This window comes from Homo sapiens, chromosome 1 (genome assembly GCF_000001405.40).
Source record: "Homo sapiens chromosome 1, GRCh38.p14 Primary Assembly".
NCBI lineage: Eukaryota > Metazoa > Chordata > Mammalia > Primates > Hominidae > Homo > Homo sapiens.
Window position 1 is genome coordinate 216,655,891 of NC_000001.11, and position 23,022 is coordinate 216,678,912.

A 23,022-nucleotide genomic window follows, 5' to 3' on the forward strand; every position below is an offset into this window, starting at 1 on the left:
CTTGAAAAACCTTCCCTGGTGCTTTTTCTATTCAATAAAGAAAGCATTTTATCCTAAAAATGTGCTGCCCCAAGCACCTGGGTAACAATGTTACGTCTATTTTGGTAATGGTTCAAAGACATGACTCCCAGTAGACCATATGATCTCTATGGGGCACTTGTTTTCCTTCCATTCTCTAAAAGTGGAAACTAGACGAAAATATTTCCAATAGCAACTATGGGCACCTGGAATGTGAACACTGGATATTCACTCAGGAGGATGCAGAAGTTATTGTTCACAGCATAGGATTTTCATTTCAGACACGGAGTTTTCTTGGATTATAGCTTGCTATTTTCTGGGACACATTTGTTAGATGGCACCAGGGACTGAATTGGGCAGCTACTGATGACACAACTGGAATTTTCCCAGTTTTGTCAATAGCTAGGGAAGTGTGCTCTGCTGCAGAGGGAACCAAATCAACATGGAAGCTCTCGGTTTTTAAACCAGGCTGACAAGAAAGATAGAGCAATTTATAATATCTCCTGGCGGCTTTTCAAAAAGTCCCGGGCTCTGATTACTTATTTCAGAGTCTTTTGTGCAATTAGTTTGCAGGCAATATAATTTTCTCACTTACTGCTTAATAGAATCTTGCAGCTAGCTGGCGGATAGAATAACAGGGTGTATGTAAAACTCCAGCCTGGAGCGCCAGTGGATAATTTGTATATTCCTTTCAGTCACTTAATGGACTTTTACAGTTTGGCAGTGAAAGGGCTGAATGATGTAAATTAGCATGGCATCTCAAAATAAAAATATATGTCAAATCTTTATTCCTGAATAACATCACTCCCACATGGTAATGATGCATTTGGATTTATGTAGTTCCTAAGACTTGTCCTCTTTTTCATACATACAGACATCATAATTGTAAAGCCAATTTGAAAGCATCTGTATATTTCTCCCAATTGTTTTAATTTTATTAACAGAACTAAATAGCTTGCAATGACCCACAGGGCACTCCAAGTGGGGTTTATCCAGTTGCTTTTCAACATTAAGTGATTTAAAAATAATGGGATTTGCCTCAGTACACAATTACAGAGCATTGGAATCATGCAGGCAATAATCTGTAGTATTTTTGTTTTAAAGGCCCTAAAACATAAACAAGAAAGAAAGAAAGAAAACTCTGTCTTTATTGTATAGTGGCAAAGGTTTTTCCATTTTTACAGTGATCTAACTTTCCTTTTTTTCTTTGTTTTTCTTTCTTATTTTCAATGCTTCGTTTCTAGCTATTCTGTGCTCATTTCCACCTGAAAGAGAAAATAATACTATCTATAGCTGAGATTCATATTATGGAATAGTAATTTATTCTATATCTGTAACTTTTAAAAAGTCATAATTACATCAATGCACATGTAAGTTAAGGGAGTTATTTGTTTTTCAAAGAAGGCGTCCACAGTTCGACTTTAAATAAGTTGTGTAGGAACACTACATCTGTTCTCAAGGGATTCCACCAAATACTTTTTGGTGCTTCCTTTAGAACTGCCACCAGAGCCACTTTACAAGGTATAAACAGGGTTTGGGAGGCCCTATATTATACCTCATTTTCACCCAAACGTATTGCCCTTTGCATTTTGACATGAAGCCCGATGATTTTTGTCCATTACTAAATTTTAAGTCTACCCTTAAAGGTCAATGATTTGCCATCACTGAAGCTATTGTGAGACTCTGTCTCAGGCTCTAAAAGAGGATTTCCAAAAATACTATAAGGAATGGGTACTATCACTCTACTAATGGGACCCCAGACCACCTGCCAGGTGAGGTTGTGGCATACTGAAGTGGGAGGAGAGGAGCATCACATCAGGATAATAGTTAGAGTTGGCTCTTATCAAAGCAATTTCATACACAGGAGTGTGCACAAGTCTCATGCTCTTTGCCTCTGCACTGTCTCTCTACCCCATAAAAAATGAGGTGGGGGAGAGGAGGGTATAGACAAGACCTTTTGCAGGTTGGTTCTTTAGCATTCTATAGGATTAAATTCTGACAATCATAAATGTAGTATATAAGAGGCATACAGCATAGCGGTGCAAATTGCTGCATTTTCAAGGTGAAACTCAAGCCTCACTTCCAAATAGGAATGGATGATGCTTTGCCCTTAAGGAAAAAAGACCGGAAGGATATTCACAAGCAGGCAGGCTTTTAAACCCTCAGCAATGTCTAGTGACTGGAGATCACACACTCTGGTTTCATCCTACAGTGTCCTGTGTTTGGGAGAGTCACCAAGGCTGCAGTCTGTGCCAGTACTGGCCACCTCCCTGTGCAAAATTTCTAACAATAAGATTCTATTCCTCCACTGTATTGAATGAAAAATGCTTAGCTTTTAAAAATGCTATAAAATGAGGACAAATTACTTAGCCTTGATTTTTTTCCAGTTTTAAAAAAACTACATCTTCCCTCAGGTTCCCCTAACTTTTCCCCTAACTTTGTAAACATGGGCATTCCTTTATCACTTTAATTCTACAACCATCAACTAAACACTAGGCATTGTGCATGTTCATTTTAGGACAAAATTTTTGTATGTCCATTCTATGTCAATCTTTAGCATATTACTTTGCATACAGTTGAGAAAAATGTCTGAGGAGGAATGTGTGATAGGAGGGGAGGAGAAAAGAAAGAGGCCAGGCACTGTGCCTCATGCTGTAATCCCAGCACTTTGGAAGGCCGAGGCAGGTGGATCACCTGAGGTCAGGAGTTCGAAACCAGCCTGGCCAACATGGCGAAACCCCATCTCTACTAAAAATACAAAAAAAAAAAAAAAAAATAGCCAGGCATGGTTGTGTGCGCCTGTAATCCCAGCTACTCAGGAGGCTGAGGCAGGAGAATCACTTGAACCCAGAAGGCGGAGGTTGGAGTGAGCTGAAATCGTGCCACTGCAGCCCAGCCTGGGTGTGAAAGCAAGACTCTGTCTCCAAAAAAGAAAGTAAAAGAAGAGAAGAGAAGAGAAGAGAAGAGAAGAGAAGAGAAGAGAAGAGAAGAGAAGAGAAGAGAAGAGAAATAAAGAAAAGAAAAGAAAAGTAGAGAAAATGCAAACCTAGGTTCAAGTTCCAGCTCTACCATGTTATTGGCTGTGTGAACTTGAACTAGTTGCCTTTGTTACCCTCAGTCTGCTAAAGTACAAAAGAGGAATAATCATATCTGCTTTATAACTTTGTAAGAATTATGTGAAATGAAGATATTAAGATCATATACATACAGTTTTGGTCCCTTTTCTGAGGAAAAAGGAGAGAACTGTCTTAACATCCCATTTATTGTTATTTACCTTGAATCCTAAGGCTTTACTCTCCAGTTTGCAAATATTATAAAATAAAACCACCTTCCTCAGATTTATACAAGGATGTGAAAATGAATATGCCATTCACTCAGAAACACTGAAAGATTTTGTCCTTGCAACACTTCTAGGCAGAATATTTAGCTATGTTTTACAGATATTGAGAAGGAAAGGAAGATAGTTGTTCTTAAAAGTACCGAAATGTCTGAGAAGTGAGTTTGTGAGGCATCAACCACATCTCATGAACACTTCCTGTCTCTACCTTGGAGCACACACAGTGCCTATCGCTGGGTATGATCTGATTAGAACAGAGGACAAAACATTTGCAAAGCTCTTCAAAAATCTTATCCCAGCCTTATCTCTTGCCACAGTCCCAGGTCGACTTCTACCCCATCTCAAGCTCACCCCCTTGTCTGAAACCCACATGGCATTACCTGAAGTTCCTAGAAAGCAGCATCCTTTCCTATTGCTCCTCTCTATGTGCTGCTTCTATCATTTCTTCAGTGAGATGATCCCAGGGCTCCCAAGACTGAGTTAGGGGTCTTTGTGGATGTAACTAGTTCATCCCGTACTTACCTTTCAGGTGAGTCCCTCTCTTAGCACTTAACACACTTTATTATATGTATCTGTGGAATTGCCCCCTTCCTGTCCCAACTGTATATTCTTTGAGGGCAGCGTCTTACTCCTTTCAGAATCCCCTGTGTCCAAGAGAGTGTCAGGTCAAGTCAATGACCCATAGGAAACATTCATTTGTCAACTTAATTTTTAGTGAGTCTGTTATTCATTCCCCCATTTTAGTGTTTAGCTTCAAATTATTCATTAAAAATTTAGAATAAAAGTGTTAGCAATTCACTAGTACTATATTATTTGGCATAAAATAACACAGACTTATAGGATATTTGATTTCAAAGAGATTCTAAATTCCAGTTGCTTCAGCCCCCTTGTTTTATATAGAAGACCATAAAAGGGGTAAATATGTAAGGACTTATCTATTATCACTAGAACCTATGATTGCTCCACCCTCTTTATAAGAATATGGGCTAGTTAACTGCAGAAATGAGACTAAAACTGAGATATCCCAACATCCAGTTCAATGGCCTTTAAATGCATCCACAAATACTTAGATATCAATACCTAAGAACAGGAGAATAACAAACACTAAGACTCACAGGTACTCTTTGATGTGCTTTACATTATGAACTACCATTCTGTGATTAGAGATTTAAGGCAGAGAGAGAATAAGGTAACATACCCAGAATCATATAGCTAACAAGCACTAGAGCCAGGATTTGAACCCAGGCAATCTGGATCCAAAGTCTGTGCTCTTAAATATGAGGCATGCTGCCTAACTCTAATCTTTTAAAAGTAATTAATTGAATGTTGTTTAGAATATAAATAAAAATGAACATTCCATCTTCTGAAAGAGCACTTTGTGTAGCTGTTGCTGTTGCTATTGTTGCCAGTCAGAAAGGAAATTTTGATGCCTGACATAGGAGCCTGAGAGTGATAGGTTCAGGGTGGATCTTGGCATTGTCTTTTGCTGTTGTCAGACTTATGGTGTAAGGGCAGCTGTGGGATAGGATAGGGTTGCTTTTAGAGAACGGAATCTCTCAACACCTCAAAAAGAAATCCCTTAACTTGTCTCTGTACCAGTATGGTTGGTGGCTGGTTTAATTCCACAGAAACCAAACAGAGCATGTCACCAAAGCAACAGGTGTCAGGTTGTACACAATGCATTTTAACAATCCCAAAATAATGTTCTTGTTCCTGATGGGAAAAAAAAAGTAATCCATAATCATGAGGGTGTGTTCTGAAATACATTTAAAAAGGACTGGTAAGTGTATAATAAAAATACATTGGTGAAAATGATGGAGAATATAAATGTCTCTCATCCAAGGACTAAAGAAATTCAATGTTTTTAGTTCTGATATAATGATGTCTTCTTGTAAAAGGCAACTGTTTTTTACAGTGTAAAATGCATATCCTACATGATGTGTACAGTCTCTTCTTCTTAGTTTTTAAGCTCTTATAGTACACAGATCATGTCACAGAAGTCTTTATAAAAGAGCTTAAAGGTGACCACTGCCACAAGAAATATATAATGTCTGAGCTGACTATAACCTCCAAATTTGCTGTGCTCTCTATCCAACATCAATTTTTACATGTTATTCTTCTACCTGTGAATTTTAAACAACCTTGATGCAAGTCTGCTTATCTGTCTTTCAAAACATGCAACAACAACAAAAGCCTTGTTAATAAAATATTCTTGGAAAAGAAAGCAATGCTAATTACATCTAATGCATTCACTATCTTTGGATAGAAACAGTTTCAATGTGTACATTTTATGGTGACTTTTGCAGACCGGTACAAGTCCATATGACCAGTTAGGGGCATTTGGATGATACCCTATATGATAAAAGCAGTTGATTCTTAAATAGAAATTTTACTTCTTGAGATTTCCCTTCTACCTTAAACAAGTATAACCCTTTCTAATACTATCCCTAAGTACTTCTGTTCTTGGATGCTATCAATGTGCCCAAAGTTTGTCAGAGAGGAAAAAATGGAATTAGAGTTTGCTTTTAAGATCAAGTTCATATATTCAACAAATATCTGCATCCTCTAAAATTAATACTGATTTGGGGAACTCCTTGACATAAGTAATGGTAATTGATCTGTGTGTAAGCTGTAGGAGGCAGTATAACATATAGATTACGAGCTAACATACTGGAGTCAAATTGGGCTGCCTTGTTCTACCATTTTCCGTGTGACTTTGGAGCAGCTCTTAAATTTGGAGTTACCTTCTTTATGAATGACATGTGGATGGGTAATAATAATTGATACATTATGGGGTTGCTATTAACATTAAGTAAGATCATGTATTTAAGATGCTTAGCAGAGTTCCTGACAGGGAGTGAGTATTGATTATAATATTAGCAATAATTACAACATCATTACTGTACTCAGGGAAGGAATGCAGGAGAAAGAGCTAAGAGGGACTCAAGAAGTGCCCAGGTAATGGTTCTCAGCACAGAAGTAAGGAAGTGCTAGCCAGAGAATTTCTTCTGGCCTTGTGCTTGTCAGCCAAAAGACAAAGAACTGATGTCTGAGTCAAAAGGCACTTCGTGAGAAGCAAAAGCAAACAAACCAACCAAAGAGTATGCCATGGACTCAGTCATAAAAGAAGGTAAAACATTCAAAAAACAGTAATTACCCCAAGGGTCAGGGAACTCAGATAGCACTGCTGGCTGGATTGAGAGAAAGGCGAGGAAAGCCCAGAAAACAATGGAAGCTCCTGGCATGTAGTCTGTACCTGAAGTTTAAAATAAAATCTGTATACCTGAACTGTCTTCTATGTTAGGGATTTCAGATAAGTGCCTCGCATCCCCCAGGAAGAGTAAGAAAGAAAAGTATAGAGGAAAACTTAGCAGGGAGAGTGGGGGGGTTCCTGTTTGATGATTGTCCAAGGGACATAGGATGAAAATGCCTCCTCCACTGTGGGATATTTGTTTAACTCTAAGTCTTCCACAGAAGAGCAGGGGTTTGGTTGGCAAGCTTTTTTGAAAGGGCCAGATTGTACATATTTTTGTCTTTGCAGGTCATTCAGTCTCTGCTGTGACTCCTTAACTCAGCTGCTGTAGCACAAAAGCAGCCACAGACCATACTAGAATAGGTGTGGCCATGTTCCAATAAAACTTTCTTTAGCAAAATGGATTTGGCCCGCAGGCCTTGGTTTAGCCATCTCTTGTCTAAACCATATGGACAAAAGGCTGCAACGACAAAAATACTTTACAGTCTATTATCCATTATTTCCTTTCTTGCTCACGACTCTGTAAGGTAGTTTCCCCCAAGTTAGGTACAGAAACTTTTTAAAGAAATCTTTGTAAATTGATAATAACTGAGAAGAACAGATGGAAGAATGAGTTGGAAAACTTTTACTTTAAGTATCACAAAATTTGAAATTGTTTTCCATATAAAACATAGGCGAAAGCTCTGGGGCACAGTGAGGTTTTTCCAAAAGCAGGAGGTACTTTGGAAGTAGTGAAGATGCTCTGGAGGCAAAAGCAGGGGAAAAAAAGTACACTTGAGGACAACACATTGGGCTACATTCCTTCCTTTGAAGATTTTTGTGCTTATCTCTGATCGTCCTCAAATGGAAACTGTAAATAGTATGCACTGAAAAGAAAATGGATATCAGAATGTAGATTTGGGATATGTATTCAGATTCATTCTAAAGGTAAATTCATATTTTCAGCTCTACATTCTAAATTAACAAAGATGTCCTTGAACTAAATAATCTCTCAGTAGTATTCTTTCTAGTATTATCAGAGATGCCCTTTTTTTAAGTCTGCTCAAACCAAGATAAAATGAGATTTAATTCCAAATAATACAGCAACTTTTTGTTAAAAATAGATTAAAAAAATTTTTCTCTTTCTATCATTCATCATAAGAAAAACAAAAAAAAGAGACCAAGAGCAACAACAACAACAACAACAAAAAGGGACTGATTCTGAGCTGCCTTCTGGAGTGGTCACAAAGTTTATGCAAATGGACAATTATTCTCACATCAAAACAGGAGAGAAATAAGCCTCTTTCTTCCTAAAATAAATAATTAAATAATACAGAAGTGTCATCAGTGGCGACAGATTTTTAGGATCAGTTTAAGACTAACAAACAAAAATTGGGTGGAGAAAGGAATGTCAGATGATAAAAATCCAGAGAACTGACACAGGAAATGGAAATGGTGGTGGCACTGAAGAGTTGCGCTCTCAAGCTTCACATTTAAGGGATTTCTAAAAATGAATTGCAAAGCGTTTAGGTATTTTTAAGACTTAGTTCTTACTGTCTCCTTTCTAAAAACCTTGAATATTATCTAATCATAACATTTGGCATATTCTTAATTCCTCATTTTTATTTTAATAACTTAAATGATTTTGCCCATGGATTAAAATTCTCTCAAGAAAAATACAATCTAAAATCATTCAATCTTTTAAAAGCTTTTAAAATATACAAGGCAGTGTAATGAAGGGGTTAAGAGGACAGGCTCTGGGTTCAAGATTTCGGGGACCCAGTTGTTCTTTGGGCAATTACTTCTCTGTGCCTCAAGTTCCACATCTATAATAGAAGATAATATAATCATGATAGAAGTGCCTACTTCATTGGGATGATTAAAGAAATGAGATAATTAATGTAAAGCACATAGAACAATGTGTGACACTTTGCAAAATCAAATATATTCATTATTATTATAAATTAAACTAATATATTTATTATTACTATTAATATTATTGGTTAACAAATTCTTCACCTAAAGGCATTGCATTAAGCTCAGGAATCTTAAGACAGCTATGTACATTATCCATATATATAAAATTACTTATGGATAAGCCTAAGGTGATAAAAGATTAGAACTTTGGTGTATATATAAATTTGGCATATCTATAAAATCTCTCAAAAATATTTAAACATTCACCTCCTACCCATTAGGATGGTTGCTACTGAAGAAAAAAAAAAAAAAACAGAAAATAACCAAGCACTGAAAAGAATACGAAGAAATTAGAACACTTGTGCTCTGTTGATGGTAATATAAAATTGTACTGCCGCTCTAGAAAACAGTACGGGAGTTCTTCTAAGAATTAAAAATAGAATTACCATGTGATCCAGTAATTTCACTTCTTGGTGTATGCATACATCCAAAAGAATTAAAAATAGGATCTCAAACAAGTATTTGTACACCCAGGTTCACTGCAGTATTATTTACAATAGCCAAGAGATGGAAGCAACATAAATGTCAGCCAAGAGAGGAATGCACAAAGAAAATGTGGTCTATCCATACAGTGGAATGTAGTAGTCCTCTCTTATTTGCGATTTCACTTTCAGCGGTTTCAATTACCCAAGGTACAGTACAGTAAAATATTTTGAGAGACAGAGAGACCACATTCACATAACTTTTAGTACTGTATATTGTTATAATTGTCCTATTTTAGTATTAGTTATTTTTGTTAATCTCTTACTGGGCCTAATCTATAAATTAAACTTTATCAAGATATGTATGTATAGAAAAAAAAAATCCTCATCTCTATACGGTTCAGTCCCATCTGTGGTTTCAGGTATCCTCTGGGGGCCTTGGTACACATCCCCTGCAGATAATGGGGGACTCCTGTATTATTCCATTTTTAAAAAGAAATCCTGTCATGCACAATGACATGAATGAACTTTGATGATATTATGCTAAGTGAAATAAGCCAGTGACAAAAAGACAAAGACTGCATGATTCCACTTATAGGAGATATCTAGAGCAGCCAAACTCATAGAAACAGAAAGAAGAATGGTGGCTAGCAGGGACTGGGGGTAGGGAGAAATGAGGAGTTGTTTCATGAGTGCAGAGTTTACATCTGGCATGATGAAATACTAAAGACTCGTGAGCTATTGCACAACCATGAGCATATAGTTAACACTAATGTACTACACATTAAAAAAATGGTTAAGATGGTAAATTTTATGTTTCTTACCACATTTTTTAAGTTTAAATGTCAGTTCTTTTAAATACAAACAGATTAGCTTTTAAGTATAAAAGCTAAAATACTACACCAGCATCCTGTACCTAATTTTGAGCTTATGTGAAACTTTTTAAATTGTATAAATCAGCTCCAATGACTAGGCCGTCACATCACTGAAGTCTCATTATCAGCAACTTTAAAAGAAAGTGAATTCATGTGGTTTATAACTTGAGTGAGTTAATGTGTTTTATAACTTCTAAGAAATTGTCTAAGTTCATCTAGTAGTATATCAGGAAAACACATCACTGCCCTGGGCTTTACCAAAAAAAGAAAATAAAATCCTGACCCATGACTTTTACTCATGTCAAAATTCTGAACCCCACCCAGCCATACCTCATGAGTTACCTAACAGCTTCTATAGTTTGACTTTTAACAAGAACTGATGCTCCCTTTCTTACAGATTTAGCAAATCACATTGAGTCATATTCCCCCACAACTAGTTACCAAGCAAAAGTGACCCACATCAATAGGAACTTCTGACAACACAACTCTCATCATTCATTTTTTGTTTTCTTTCCTACATTTAGAGTGAACATTCTAATATACCCTATCTGGCTTTAGCCATAACCAATTTTGAGTTCACTGGAGGAATGGCTTTTATTGTATAACTATTTGAACATATGTACAAAAACATGCATTTTGAAAAATATAAAGCACAAAGTATCATTCCTATTGTTTTGCTCTCAAGCATTTAACATGCCGTTCAGTAGACTGAGGCTATTCTAGCAGGGTCTGAAGCAGCCTTATTTGTCATGACTTGGTTCTGGGTTAAGGGAGCACAAGGAGGAATGAAGGAAAGCTATTAGAGTGCTAAGAAAGGCACTCATGTCTTTGTTTGGGAGTTTATCTTGTAATCAAAGAACTGCCTCCAGTACCTTCATCAAAACAAATAGTCATCAGATAATAGAGATTATGGATGGCATGTCCTCTGGGGAAAGTCCAGTGATCTGTAGGCAAAGAGTCAGCCACACCCGCTTCCTGAAAGTCCACTCACAAATTTAAAATTCCACCTTGCAAAAGGCAGAAAAGTCAATGGCATTTTTATAAGAATTAATTGGAAGTGATCTGTGAAGTCCCTTAGACTGGAACATAAAAACAATACAAACTTCCTTCTCAACAGTTACTCGCTAGGAGAGCTCAGAGACTTAACAGGTTGTAGTTTGGGGCAGGTTAAGAGAACTCTCCTCCCCCCAAAAAAAATCAGTGGAAGAAATGGTAATGCAAGGGCTTCTTTTCCATAAGAGAATGATTGAATCGGGAACAGGTACGTTTGAGTAACCCAGACGGGTCAGGATAGGGGATGCTCCCACACTGGAACCAGATAGGCACCAGGTCTTATGCCAGCTGCACCCACAGTCAGCACCTGAAGGGCAGCTTTCCATCCACGCTACTCCGTCCGAGGACACTAGCTCAGGAGATCTATAGGGAATTGATTTTATTTTCTGAGTGCAGAGGGTTTTATTAAAGGAAAAATAAATAAGAGTACATGCTTTGATTAAGTATGCGTGTGTAAAGAGAATTTATTCCAGAATTACATCCGTATTTTTTTTGGATTCTAACATAGGCCATATCACACAGTAGAATCCATGAAATATGGGCTTATGTAACAGGTACTTTATAAGTTCTGTTAAAATATAAAGATAGAACTAAGTTTAGGCCGGGTGCAGTGGCTCATGCCTGTAATCCCAGCACATCGGGAGACCAAGGCGGGTGGATCACCTGAGGTCAGCAGTGTGAGACCAGCTTGGCAAACATGGTGAAACCCTGTCTCTACTAAAAGTACAAAAATTAGCCAGGCATGGTGGTGCATGCCTGTAATCCCAGCTACTCAGGAGGCTGAGGCACAAGAATCGCTTGAATCCGGGAGGCGGAGTTTGCAGTAAGCCAAGATCACCCCATTGCCCTACAGCCTGGGTGACAGAGCGAGACTCCATCTCAAAAAAAAAAAAAAAAAAAAAAAAGATAGAACGAAGTTGAAAAATTATGAAAAAGCTTATCCCTTTATTAAATGTAACTATCATGAATTAGTGATATTGCTACTACAAAGTGTATTACTTAAAATAAATAAGGCTGGGCGCGGTGGCTCACGCTAATCCTAGCATTTTGTAAGGCCAAGGCAGGTGGATCAACTGAGGTCAGGAGTTTGAGACCAGCCTGACTAACATGGTGAAACCCCGTCTCTACTGAAAAATACAAAAATTAGCCAGGTGTAGTGGCTGGCACCTGTAATCCCAGCCACTCAGAAGGCTGAGGCAGAAGAATCGCTTGAACTCAGGAGGCGGAGGTTGCAGTGAGCCAAGATCACACCATTGCACTCCAGCCTGGGTGACAGAACGAGACTCCATCTCAAAAAATAAATAAATAAATAAATAAATATTTAATATCAGCAGAGGAATATGAAACCCATTCTATCACTTCTTCCAGATCACTGTGAAGTAACAGAGACAGTAGGAAAGAAGGTTACCCTTTTGCAAATACATTGCTAGGAAAATTAATTTTGTTTGCCTAATCTGACATGAGCTATAGTTGGGCATTAAGTTTTGTTGCAAATTTGTGTCCATCCTGAATACCATTGGCATATACCCCTTACATGGGATAGGCTCTTACGTAGTGTCACCCAACAGGAAAATATACCCTACAAATCAAAGCTAAAATGATATGCCTATTTTAAATGACTTTCAAAATAGAGTAACATAATGCTATGTGTTTAATAAACATGTAAATCACACCAGAGATTCTTTTTTCTGCAAACTGGAGTTTCTAATATTTGAAGGACAAAAATCTAGTGAGGATCATTACATTTTATTCTATTTTTCTTTCCTTGATCAAAGATCAACCATGAAATACAATCTCTGAAAATAATCACTCTGATTTTGCACAACCCAAAGATCTTTTTTCATCAGCCACTCTGTTACTTTGTCTTAATTTACATTGATTCTGTTTTCTAATTAGCTAGCCAACACACACACACACTCACACACACACATATATTCACGCATATATATTATAGTGCTCACAGATGTGTAGTTCAAACAGGCTTGAAATATCCAAACAGAGAAAAGAGACTAGAAAATTCTGAAGAAGTAAAAATATTCTGAAAAGGGAAATAATAGACTAAAAAAAGTCATTATGATAGAGATTGGGTTTCAATTTTATAAATGATATGTACACAAAACTGCCTAGGAAATCCTTTGGTATAAAAATCTTTTTCATCAATGTTGCCTGCAAGGAAGAAAAATAGGGTGTCTTGATTTAGAAGTTACCCAAACTACGACCAACAGGTCAAATCCAGGTCTGGGCTTGTTTTTGAATGCCCTCAAGCTCAGAGTGTTTTTTTATATTTTTAAACAGCTTAAAAAAAAAACAAAACAAAGAGTATGGAACAGAGAAGGCATGTGGCACACAGATCCTGATATATGTGATAACCTAAGATATTTAAACTATTTAATTTATTATCTGTCTCTTGAAAATGCCTGCTGACCAGTAGCTCTTTGACAACCTCAAAAGTATAATTTAGGTGACTTCCCAAGTCAGAACAAACCGTGGAAAAGGAATCACTACTCATTTGTCTCAAGAAGTGGTTCCAGTAAGTCAAAACCAGGAGAAGAAAAACTAAATTATGCTGTTTTAGGACACCCATTCATATAGTACTTCTTCACCAAAAAAGAAAGATTGCAATATTTTACTATTAAAATAAACACTGAACCTAACAATTAAAATAGCAAGAGTAGAATGATATTTGTTATTTATAATTTGGCAACTTTAATGCATTTCAAAAACTCAGACACAACTGGCATCAAATGCAAGAAGTGGAAAAGTCAAACTTACAACAAAAGCAAGTTAAGAGTTAAAGTAGGCTGGGCGCGGTGGCTCATGCCTGTGATCCCAGCACTTGGGGAGGCCAAGGTGGGCAGATCACTTGAGGTCGGAAGTTTGAGACCAGCCTGGCCAACATAGTGAAACTCTGTCTCTACTAAAAATACAAAAATTAGCCAGGCTTGCTGGTGTGTGCCTGTAATCCTAGCTACTTGGGAAGCTGAGGCAGGAGAATCACTTGAACCCAGGAGGTGGACATTGCATTGAGCCAAGATGGCACCACTGCACTTTAGCCTGGGTAACAGAAAGAGACTCTGTCTCAAAAAAAAGAAAAAAAAAAGTTAAAGCAATGAATTATATACAACATTTCTTTGGAAAATATTACTTCTATATTTAATTTAACACTGCATTCAAACTGATAATCACTGCGATTCATCAAGTCAATTTAGACATTTCCATATTATTTTGGATTTCAATTTTATAACATATTAGAGTTTTAAAGCTACCAATTACTATAAACTGAGGTAGTTATTTTCTCTAGACACTATTTGGGTTAAATACATTTTATTAGTTTCCTTTGGAAAGTTCATATCATGTACACTCAATTTGTAAGTTCTTATTTTCTCTATGGCTGAAAACATTCTAAGACTGAAACAGCACATGATGGCAAAAGAAATGCAACACCAGGAAAGATCCTCTAGGACTACACTGCCTGCTTCAGGAAGGAGTCATACAATTCAGTGTAGTAAAGCAGTTGATTGCATCAGATCCAAGGGCTATGCCCGCATGCCTTTAGCATATGGCTTGCAGGAAAATGACTAATCTTAATGCCCCATGTTTAAGGTGAGATTTAGGCTCACATTAATGCCACTTTAGCCTCAGACAAGAAAAGCCCTTGCCTGAAGGCTGTGGGCTTTAGAAGGTATACGTAGCACAAAGATCCCACTCAAAGTGTGAAGGGAAAAAAGCCCAGCTGGAGCCGTCCCCTGCGTACACCTTGATCCTGAGTACCTGAGACCCTCAAACTCCCTGGCTAGATCACCACAAGCCCATGGAAGTGCCAGGGCCTGAGCGGGACTCTCTCTTGGGTCTGTTCTCTGGAAGCTAGACTGGACTAAACTGCCCTTCTGGTGTGCACATTAGACCTGGGCGTGGTCAAGGAACAGCTGTTTGGAAGGGGTCACTGGGCCTTAGACATGTGGGCAAGGGTGTCCACACTATGTACAAGATTGGGAGATAGAGGAGAGAGAAAGAAAGGGGATGGGCTGCAGGCTATGAACCAGCTCTCCTTGCACTGCCTCTCACTGACAGAAAATTGTTCCTTGGAGTCAAAGACTGACCAATAAAAAGTCAGTCTCCCAGGCTATTATGAAGGTATAGTTGGTCAAATAAGAGACTAGAACAAATTTCACTTAGTGATTTGGTATCTTGATTTATAACATTAACATATTTACATATACTATGCAGTATTTGGGTGCTTGCTGTACTCTTGTCCTAGGTCCTGCAATGTTCAGAGTGGACTTAGTTCCATAATGGTCACTCCCACACCTCACACAGGGAAGATATGCTACTACTTCAGTGCCTAAATTTCACAAGTGAAGCTAAACTGAGAATTTTATGTTTTATGCAAGTTCCAAAATTCAGGCTTGTTTTTTGATGTATGCAGTTTCCCATTCTTATTCACAGGGAAATAAAGTTAATTGAGCACGATAAGCTAAATATAACTAAACAAATTTCCAGACAGTTCACCTAAATGCCTCCAATCATATAAAGGCACCATCAGTGAGAAATGGCTACAGGGAGAGAGGGTTTACGATCATAGCTAAAGGGTGGAGACAGCTGTGAGCTCTGGAAGGTGACATACCTGTCCTTCTAGTTTAGCATCAAGGATAACTCTGTGCTAGATTACACGAACCATCCAGCCTCTGGGTATCCCAGTCATATTCCCAATATCAACCAAAGTTAATAATTTAGTGTACATTTACTATGGGTCAAGTACTTCGATATTCATTCTCTCATGTAACCCTCATCACTTGGGAAACAGAGGAAAAGAGGGGTTAAGGTCTCACAGCTGGTAAGTGGCTGAGACTTGGGCCTGGCTTTATATAAATCCAAAACCGATGCTATAATGAACATCTTTTTAAAATCTCATATTTTTAAATATACAATTTCCCACCTTTTAAATGTGGGGGAAAGAAGAATACTTTATTTCTAGCACTATAATGAGGAGTTAGAATGGCTATATTATCTACACAAAGAAAACTATTTATAAAATTATTTTCTTTATTATATGGACATAAAAACTTCAGGAGGCTAGTGTTTTGTCTATTAAATAATGAAATATGTAATACTTGGGTATTACTTATACTTGGGTATAAGGATGTTTTCCTTCTCTTGCCTCCTTAACAAGAGTCTAGGGGAAACTCTTAATGAGAAGTTCCCAAAAAAAAAGAAAAGAAAAGAAGGAAGGAAGGAAAGAAAGAAGGAAGGAAGGAAGGAGGGAAAGAAGGCAGACTCCAATCATTTATGAATTAAGGCCAAAATTGGAATTGGAAAAAAAATCAGAAGAATAACAATATCACATCCCCAAAATTACTATGCCTAGAAAATGACGTGAAATCACTGCTGCCACTGTAACCCTATTGGATGACAGGGTAGAGCTGTCAAAGTTTTGTAAAAAGTATTTTGGTCAGCCAAAAACAAAAACAAAACAGCAAAACTTTGGCTTCTACCCAACTAAATGCTGACATAATTCAATAGTTTTTCAATGATAACTTGAAAATAGTCAACAAGTAAAATATTCCTTTCTATTTACCTTTCATTGAAATCCATGATTAATTGTCTTTCACAACAGAAATAGCACATTCAGCTCTGAAAAGAACAATTTGTATTACTTTTCTCAAGATATGGTCTGGATATATGTTCTTTTGGTGCCAAGTTTAAGAAGTATTTTTCCCAACTTTTTAAACGTATATATTTATTACACACTCGATAACCAATCCTAAAAATAAATTGTTAAAATAAGAAGTAAGATGGCTCATGCCTGTAATCCCAGCACTTTGGGAGGCTGAGGCAGGAGGATCATTTGAGGCTAGGAGTTTGAGACCAGCCTGGGCAACATAGGGAGATCCCGTCTCTACAAAAGAGTGAAAAATTAGGTAGGCATGGTAGTGCATGCCTGTTTTCCAGCTACTTGGGAGGCTGAGGGGAAGGGATCACTTGAGCCCAGGAGGTGGAGGCTGCAGTGAGCCAAGATCACATCACTGTACAACAGCCTGGGCAACACAGTGAGACCCTGTCTCAAAAATAATAAGAAGATATATTAAAAAGGAAAGATCTTAACAGATGATGGTGTACATGAAAATGCCTATGGATGCACACGTCCCTTAAGTCAATGAGAGTAGAACCAGGCCCTGGTGAGGCAGGAGTCACATTTATGTAACGGCCTGTCCATTGGGGCTCTAGTCTAGCAAGGCTTGTTGTCAAGGGGAGTTACATAATCTCTTCCTTTTCCTTGGAGAGCTTTAATGGAGGGGAGGGAGAGACTACGATCTGTTAAGGGTGGTTTGGCTGCAATGCTGTCTGAAGGCATGAGAATGAACTCTAAGGCAGCTTCAGCATTGGAATAAGAGTCTGGGCCACACTCAACATCTTTGGAGTTCAACTGCTATCACTACCGTATTTGGCCACAGAAAGGAGGGGCCGTTCCAATCTTCCTTACAATTACTGCTCTAATTATTACATTATACTTTCACAATTTAATCCCTTTATTTGCCTCACTGCCTTTTTGGGGCTAAGTGAGCACCACAGTGTGATGTCTGATGATGTAGCTAGCAGGGTAGCCTCACCAAGTGCTGCGCAGCTGCCAGCTACAAGCACAGCCAGGTGGGCAAGTCCAGAGTGCTAATCTGGACAGTGACATCTCTGTCTCCTGCTCAAAATCCTTGAAACTTGCTCTCTCCAATACGGAGTAAAACTGAGCACATACATCAATGCCAAGAATCACCCTGTGCTTTGCTCTGTTAAGCTTTTGGTAGCATTTCAGCATCCTAAAGAATAATCATGCATAGAATTCCAATTGCTCTATTCTAATTATTGCTCAGTAAATAACTATTGCAGAGCTATTAATGTCTAACCTATAAAATGTTTTGAGACATGTATTAGGAAATTTTTTCACACTGTTATTCTATCTTTACAAAACATACCGAAGACTCGAGGGTTTAATCCCCTCAACCCTAAAAATTGTTACTTCCTCAAGGCAGGAGACATTTGTTAGAGGAATTCATCTCAATCCACAACCTTTGGGAACAAAGCTTTAATAAAATGTGGATAAGAGGACACTCCAACCAGCCTGCTGTCTGAATCACAGGTTCTCAGTAAATATTCGTTGAATAAATGGGAGTGGTTTTCACACTGAGAACCTCTTGCTTATATCAGCGCACTCAGTGCTCATGAATTTATCCCAAAATATTTGCTTATCTTTGTGTAGTTAAAATTCAGAGCTGTGTAAACTGAGTTAACAAAATCAAATTAATAACAGTTTGAATTGTATATACTTTGTAACCATAAGGATTATAACACTGTGGAACAATGGCTGGTAAACACCCAAAGATTTGAGGTGTGCTTTCATTCTCAAGTTTTGTAGTGTTACCAAATAGACTGAAGAGATTTCTCAAATGCTCAGAAGTGATGAAAAGCCTTGTGCACAGACCATTGTTTTTAGCTTTCTCGCTTTCCATGTGATTTTATATTTCATTTTAAACTTAAGTATTCTGAGGTTAATGCCTTCAATTTATAGATGAGGATAAAGAAAATAAAAATCCAGTAAATGAAAGATTTTTGTAAGAAAATATCAATAAATATAGCAACGATGAGCCAGAAATTATAAAGATACAGCTATGAAGATGTTTAGGACATTCATATGTACTGCATACTAACTTGGTTTTGTGCTCTTCATTTAAAACTATGAAAGGCTATGAAAAGATTAGGATTAAGTATCTCATCTACTATGTAAGAGTATGATGTCTTGAGAAATTGTGCTTTGGGTAAACTTTTTTTTTTTTTTTTTTTGAGACTGTGTCTAGCTCTGTCACCCCAGGCTGGAGTGCAATCATGGCTCACTGCAACCTCCAATTCCTGGGCTCAAGCAATCCTTCTGCCTCAACCTTTCCAGTAGCCACGACTACAGGTGCATGCCACCATGCTCAACTAATTTGTAAATTTTTTATAGAGACAGGGTTCTCACTTTGTTGCCCAGATTAATCTCTTGAACTTTTGGCCTTAAGGGATCCTCCAGCCTCAGCCTCCCAAAGTGGTGGGATTACAGGCATGAGCCACTGCACCTGACTAAGTAAACATTTTGATTGTGTTCTCATCAGCCACAGATCAAGGAAGTTATGTAACAGACAACAAAAAAGCAAGGGAGAGCCAGTACAAGTAAGGATTGTCACTAAAATATTCAGTGCAACTGATGAAGAAGAGTTGAATTTCCAGATGCTCTTAAAAGGGAAGGTGGGCCGGGCACGGTGGCTCATGCCTGTAATCCCAGCACTTTGGGAGGCTGAGGCGGGTGGATCACGTGAGGTCGGGAGTTCGAGACCAGCCTGGCCAATGTGGTGAAACCTTGTCTCTACTAAAAATACAAAATTAGAGAAGCGTGTTGGTGCATGCCTGTAATCCCAGCTACTTGGGAAGCTGAGGCAAGAGAATCACTTGAACCCAGGAGATGTAGGTTGCAGTGAGCCGAGATCATGCCATTGCCCTCTAGCCTGGGCCACAAGAGTAAAAATCTGCCTCAAAAAGAAAAAAAAAAGGGGGAGAAGGTGGGAGACTGCTCTATGTACACATAAAGGGTTTCAGAATCATGTTTTGTGAAAATATTTAAAAGGATTAGCACTTAACAAACATTACTTCTTTTGTACTTTGAAAACTAGTACGTCACAAAATTATGAAGGCTCCACATAAATTAGTTTCAGTTCTGTCCAGCAAGGGGCCATTAGATGATGATGGTCTATGGTCAGTGGTGAATCAGCAGTAGCATGGTCTAGAGCAGGGGGTCTAAATTTGAATTAGCATCAGGATTACCCAGAGGGTTGGTAAAATGCAGATTGCTAGGCCCACCCTCAGAGATTCTGTTTGAGTTAATACAGGATGGGGCCTGGGAACTTGCATTTCTTACATTTTCCCAGATGATGCTGGTACTGCTGGTACAGCCACTGCACTTTGAGAACTGTTGGCAAATAATACAACACAGTACAGTGCAGTGTTTCTTAACTTTGCCTTTACATTAAGCATCACCTAGGAAGCTTTCAAAAACCCCCCTTTCCCTGGCTGTACCCAAGACCAATTAATTCAGAATTTGGGGACATGAGCCCTGACATCAGCATGTTTTTTTAAGTCTTCCACTGATTCCAATGAGCTGGCAAGCTTGAGAACCACTGATATGTGGGAAGATAGACTTTGTGTCCATAACTGGTTGTTAGGAAGACACATTTTGTAAACCACTGAGCAGAACCATTGGTGTGCTGTGGATCCTCAAAATATATTTTTTTCTTCCCCTATTTTCTTCAAAAGTGAATTACAAGAGACCTAAAAACGTGAAATCTAATTTTTTTGCCAGAATATATATCTATAGCTTTTTCATGAACTGAATTCTAGATCTGTAGATTACCAGTTTAAAAGGGCATAAACAAATTTCAGTCCTATTTTTCTACACTGTATGGCGGAAATAATGTTATTTATAAATCTGAAATCTATGAAGTTTGGGGTATATATCACTTATATATGTTGGAGGTATATTTTATCATTCAATGCCATTTTATTGGTATAATTTGGAAGGTTTTTTTTAATATAAATTCATTTAAAAGTTAGAAAAAGTATATCCAACCATAAGGAAAAAAGAAAGATGAGTAGGTAATTAAATTTGTCTAGAGCAGTGATTCTTAAAATTGGTCCCTGGACCGGCAGCATCATCAGCATTACCTGAAAATTTGTTAAAAATATACAATCTCAGGCAGGCCCCCACCCCAGATCTAATGAATCAGAAATTCTGGAGGTAGGACCCAGGAATCTGCATTTTAACAAGATTTCCAGATGATTTTAATGCACACTCAAGTTTGGAAATCACTGGTCTAAAGTATTTATTATTTCCATGCATCTGTAAGAAGATCCAAAGGGGTCAAAAACACTGTTAGTCCAATGTGCATTTGTACAGTTGCTATATAGACCCACATTGCTCTAATAATAACTATGCTCTTGTAAACTCTACCCAAAGTTTATTATCCTTGCACCATTAAAGCTTAACAGTAAGAGGAAAATTAATAGATATGGAGTATATCTGGGGGGATTTTATTCTATAAATCTTCCACTATCAATTGTAATCTATTTCCATTTTCTACTCAAGAGAGAATTAAAACTATGATACTTGACTTATGAGAATAAGAATAAGGAAAAACAAAAACCCATCATGTGAGGTTGGAAGTGGGGAGAGTATTCCCAGGTCCGACACTAACCTTGAATTGTCCTCTTGAAGAATGCCTTGCAGGCTTCACATGATGCTACCCCATAGTGGTACCCAGAAGCGATGTCACCACACACTAAACACAGTCTCTTGGGCATCGAGTTGAGCATGTATTCACACTTGGTCTGGGGATCTTCAACAATGGTGCTGGAGCAGTCATCATACAGTTTCCTGACAGGCCCACTACCTCCCAGGATAGGAGCAGAAGGGTAGAGAGGTGGCGAGTCAAGTCCGTTCTGATGGCCATTCATGGTTGAACTGTAGCTCCCACTGGCGTCTGAAGAGCCACCAGGGCTGTGGTGGTTGACGCTGTCCGTCAGGGAGGCTGGGCTGGAAGGTTCCGTCTTGATGAAGGACGAACAGCTGGAATCAATGTGTCGATCTTTGTTTGACATTCTGCAGAGAAGCCTGAGATTGAGGAGATACAAAGAGAGACAGAAAGAGGAGAGAGTGTCAAGCACAGAGACCAAAAGAGGTAGAAACAAAAGAGATGGTGAAAAATAGAGAAAGGGAAAGGGAAAGGTAAAAGGAGGAAAAAAACAGAATTCATATGTTAAAGACATTGCTCTTTGAGAGAGTTTCCTAAGGGCTAGGGACTACACATCATTCATTCTCTAGTCAATACTTCTTGTTCTACAAGAAGGTAATCAGCATAAGGGCATGACAGGGTTACAACAAAGGGCCCAGACAGGCCATAAACAAAAGCTCTAAAGAGTCCGATTGCTTTTATTTTACCTTTCTCTTGGAGAACCAGTGTCAATATCTAACTCAACTCTAGATTCTAAATTTATCAATGGAAGAGGTGGTGATTTGCAAAGTCTATACCATTTCTAAAATTGTATTTATCCTCATTCTACCTTTCCTTCCTCATTCTGATGCTGCAATCATTTTATTATGAGCAGAATAAAACTTTTATTTTCAAGACTGAACAGATGATCCTCAGCTCTGTAATTACTGTTTGTCAGCACGCTTCCATAAGCATAACTGTGTCTTATTGATCTGACTAAAACACATAGGGAATATATCCTCAATCACTTTGTTTCTTTATTTAAATTGCTCTATTTCATAGCCATTTGGCAATATAGAAAGACATCAAGTATAAAATTCCAGCCAATATTTAAAGATTATTCCTAGAGCCTGCAAAACTTAGTGACTCATCACCAACATTCATTAATAAATACGTGCATGTGTTTCTTATGTGTGATTTGCCATTATTTAAGAGATGAATCAGTAAAAGCCATTTGAGCCTTCAGTATACCTGTAAGTCCACAAATCTGATATTATATGTATATTATCTGATACTATAAAATCTGATGTTATATTTACATTCAGTAAAGTAGAAATGTAGCATATTTTGTCCTAAAAAATATATTTGTGATGGTCCTTCCCCCACTTCTTTTTGCCATTTAACATTATACCTCCTAAAAGGAAAAATGATGAAACATCTAATCTGACACACTGTTTCTCTTATCTAGAAGAAACACTTCATCCCTTTTTCTTTGTTGTTCTCACAAGTGACCGAATTTCTGGAAAGGTAATTAGATGAAAAGATATAATTGGTCCTATTTTCTTTTCATTTAGCCATTGTGCAAAACCTCGTTTAGCAAAATGTCTAAGAAGCTTCTGAGAGCCCACTACAGAAAGAAGAGGTGACAGTCAAGAAAGGGACTTAGATAATTGCCTCCCAGTGGAAAATTGATTTATGGGAATCCCTCTGGGTAATGGTCATTCACTAGAATTTGGGGGACTCATCACAGGATAACCAAAGGGATGCAATTATCTCTTTCACTATAAATCTAATGATATTTGATCATTGCACAAATTTCATG

At 37.9% G+C, this 23,022-nt stretch overlaps 1 protein-coding gene across 56 annotated transcripts in view, besides 1 other annotated feature; it reads right to left on the minus strand.

Annotated features, from left to right (window-relative positions):
- The window catches only part of ESRRG (estrogen related receptor gamma), a 634,457-nt gene that overhangs the window by 152,645 nt on the left and 458,790 nt on the right, over positions 1 to 23,022 (minus strand). For 54 of the 56 annotated variants that reach the window (XM_017000625.2, XM_047449371.1, XM_017000622.2 and 51 more), the window contains one exon: positions 21,186 to 21,601. The exons of the other annotated variants lie outside the window; for them this stretch is intronic. In XM_017000625.2, coding sequence (XP_016856114.1) covers positions 21,186 to 21,601 — 416 coding nt within the window. The remainder of the gene's footprint in view (positions 1 to 21,185; positions 21,602 to 23,022) is intronic. 56 annotated transcript variants of the gene reach the window in all.
- Positions 3,485 to 3,654: an enhancer, noted in NCBI's record as "experimental_4347 CRE fragment used in MPRA reporter constructs". NCBI's record gives its function as "activates a minimal promoter by MPRAs in K562 erythroleukemia cells, with activity observed for both the introgressed and non-introgressed 1:216832802 variant alleles {active_cell/tissue: K562}" and the evidence as "EXISTENCE:reporter gene assay evidence [ECO:0000049][PMID:34662402]".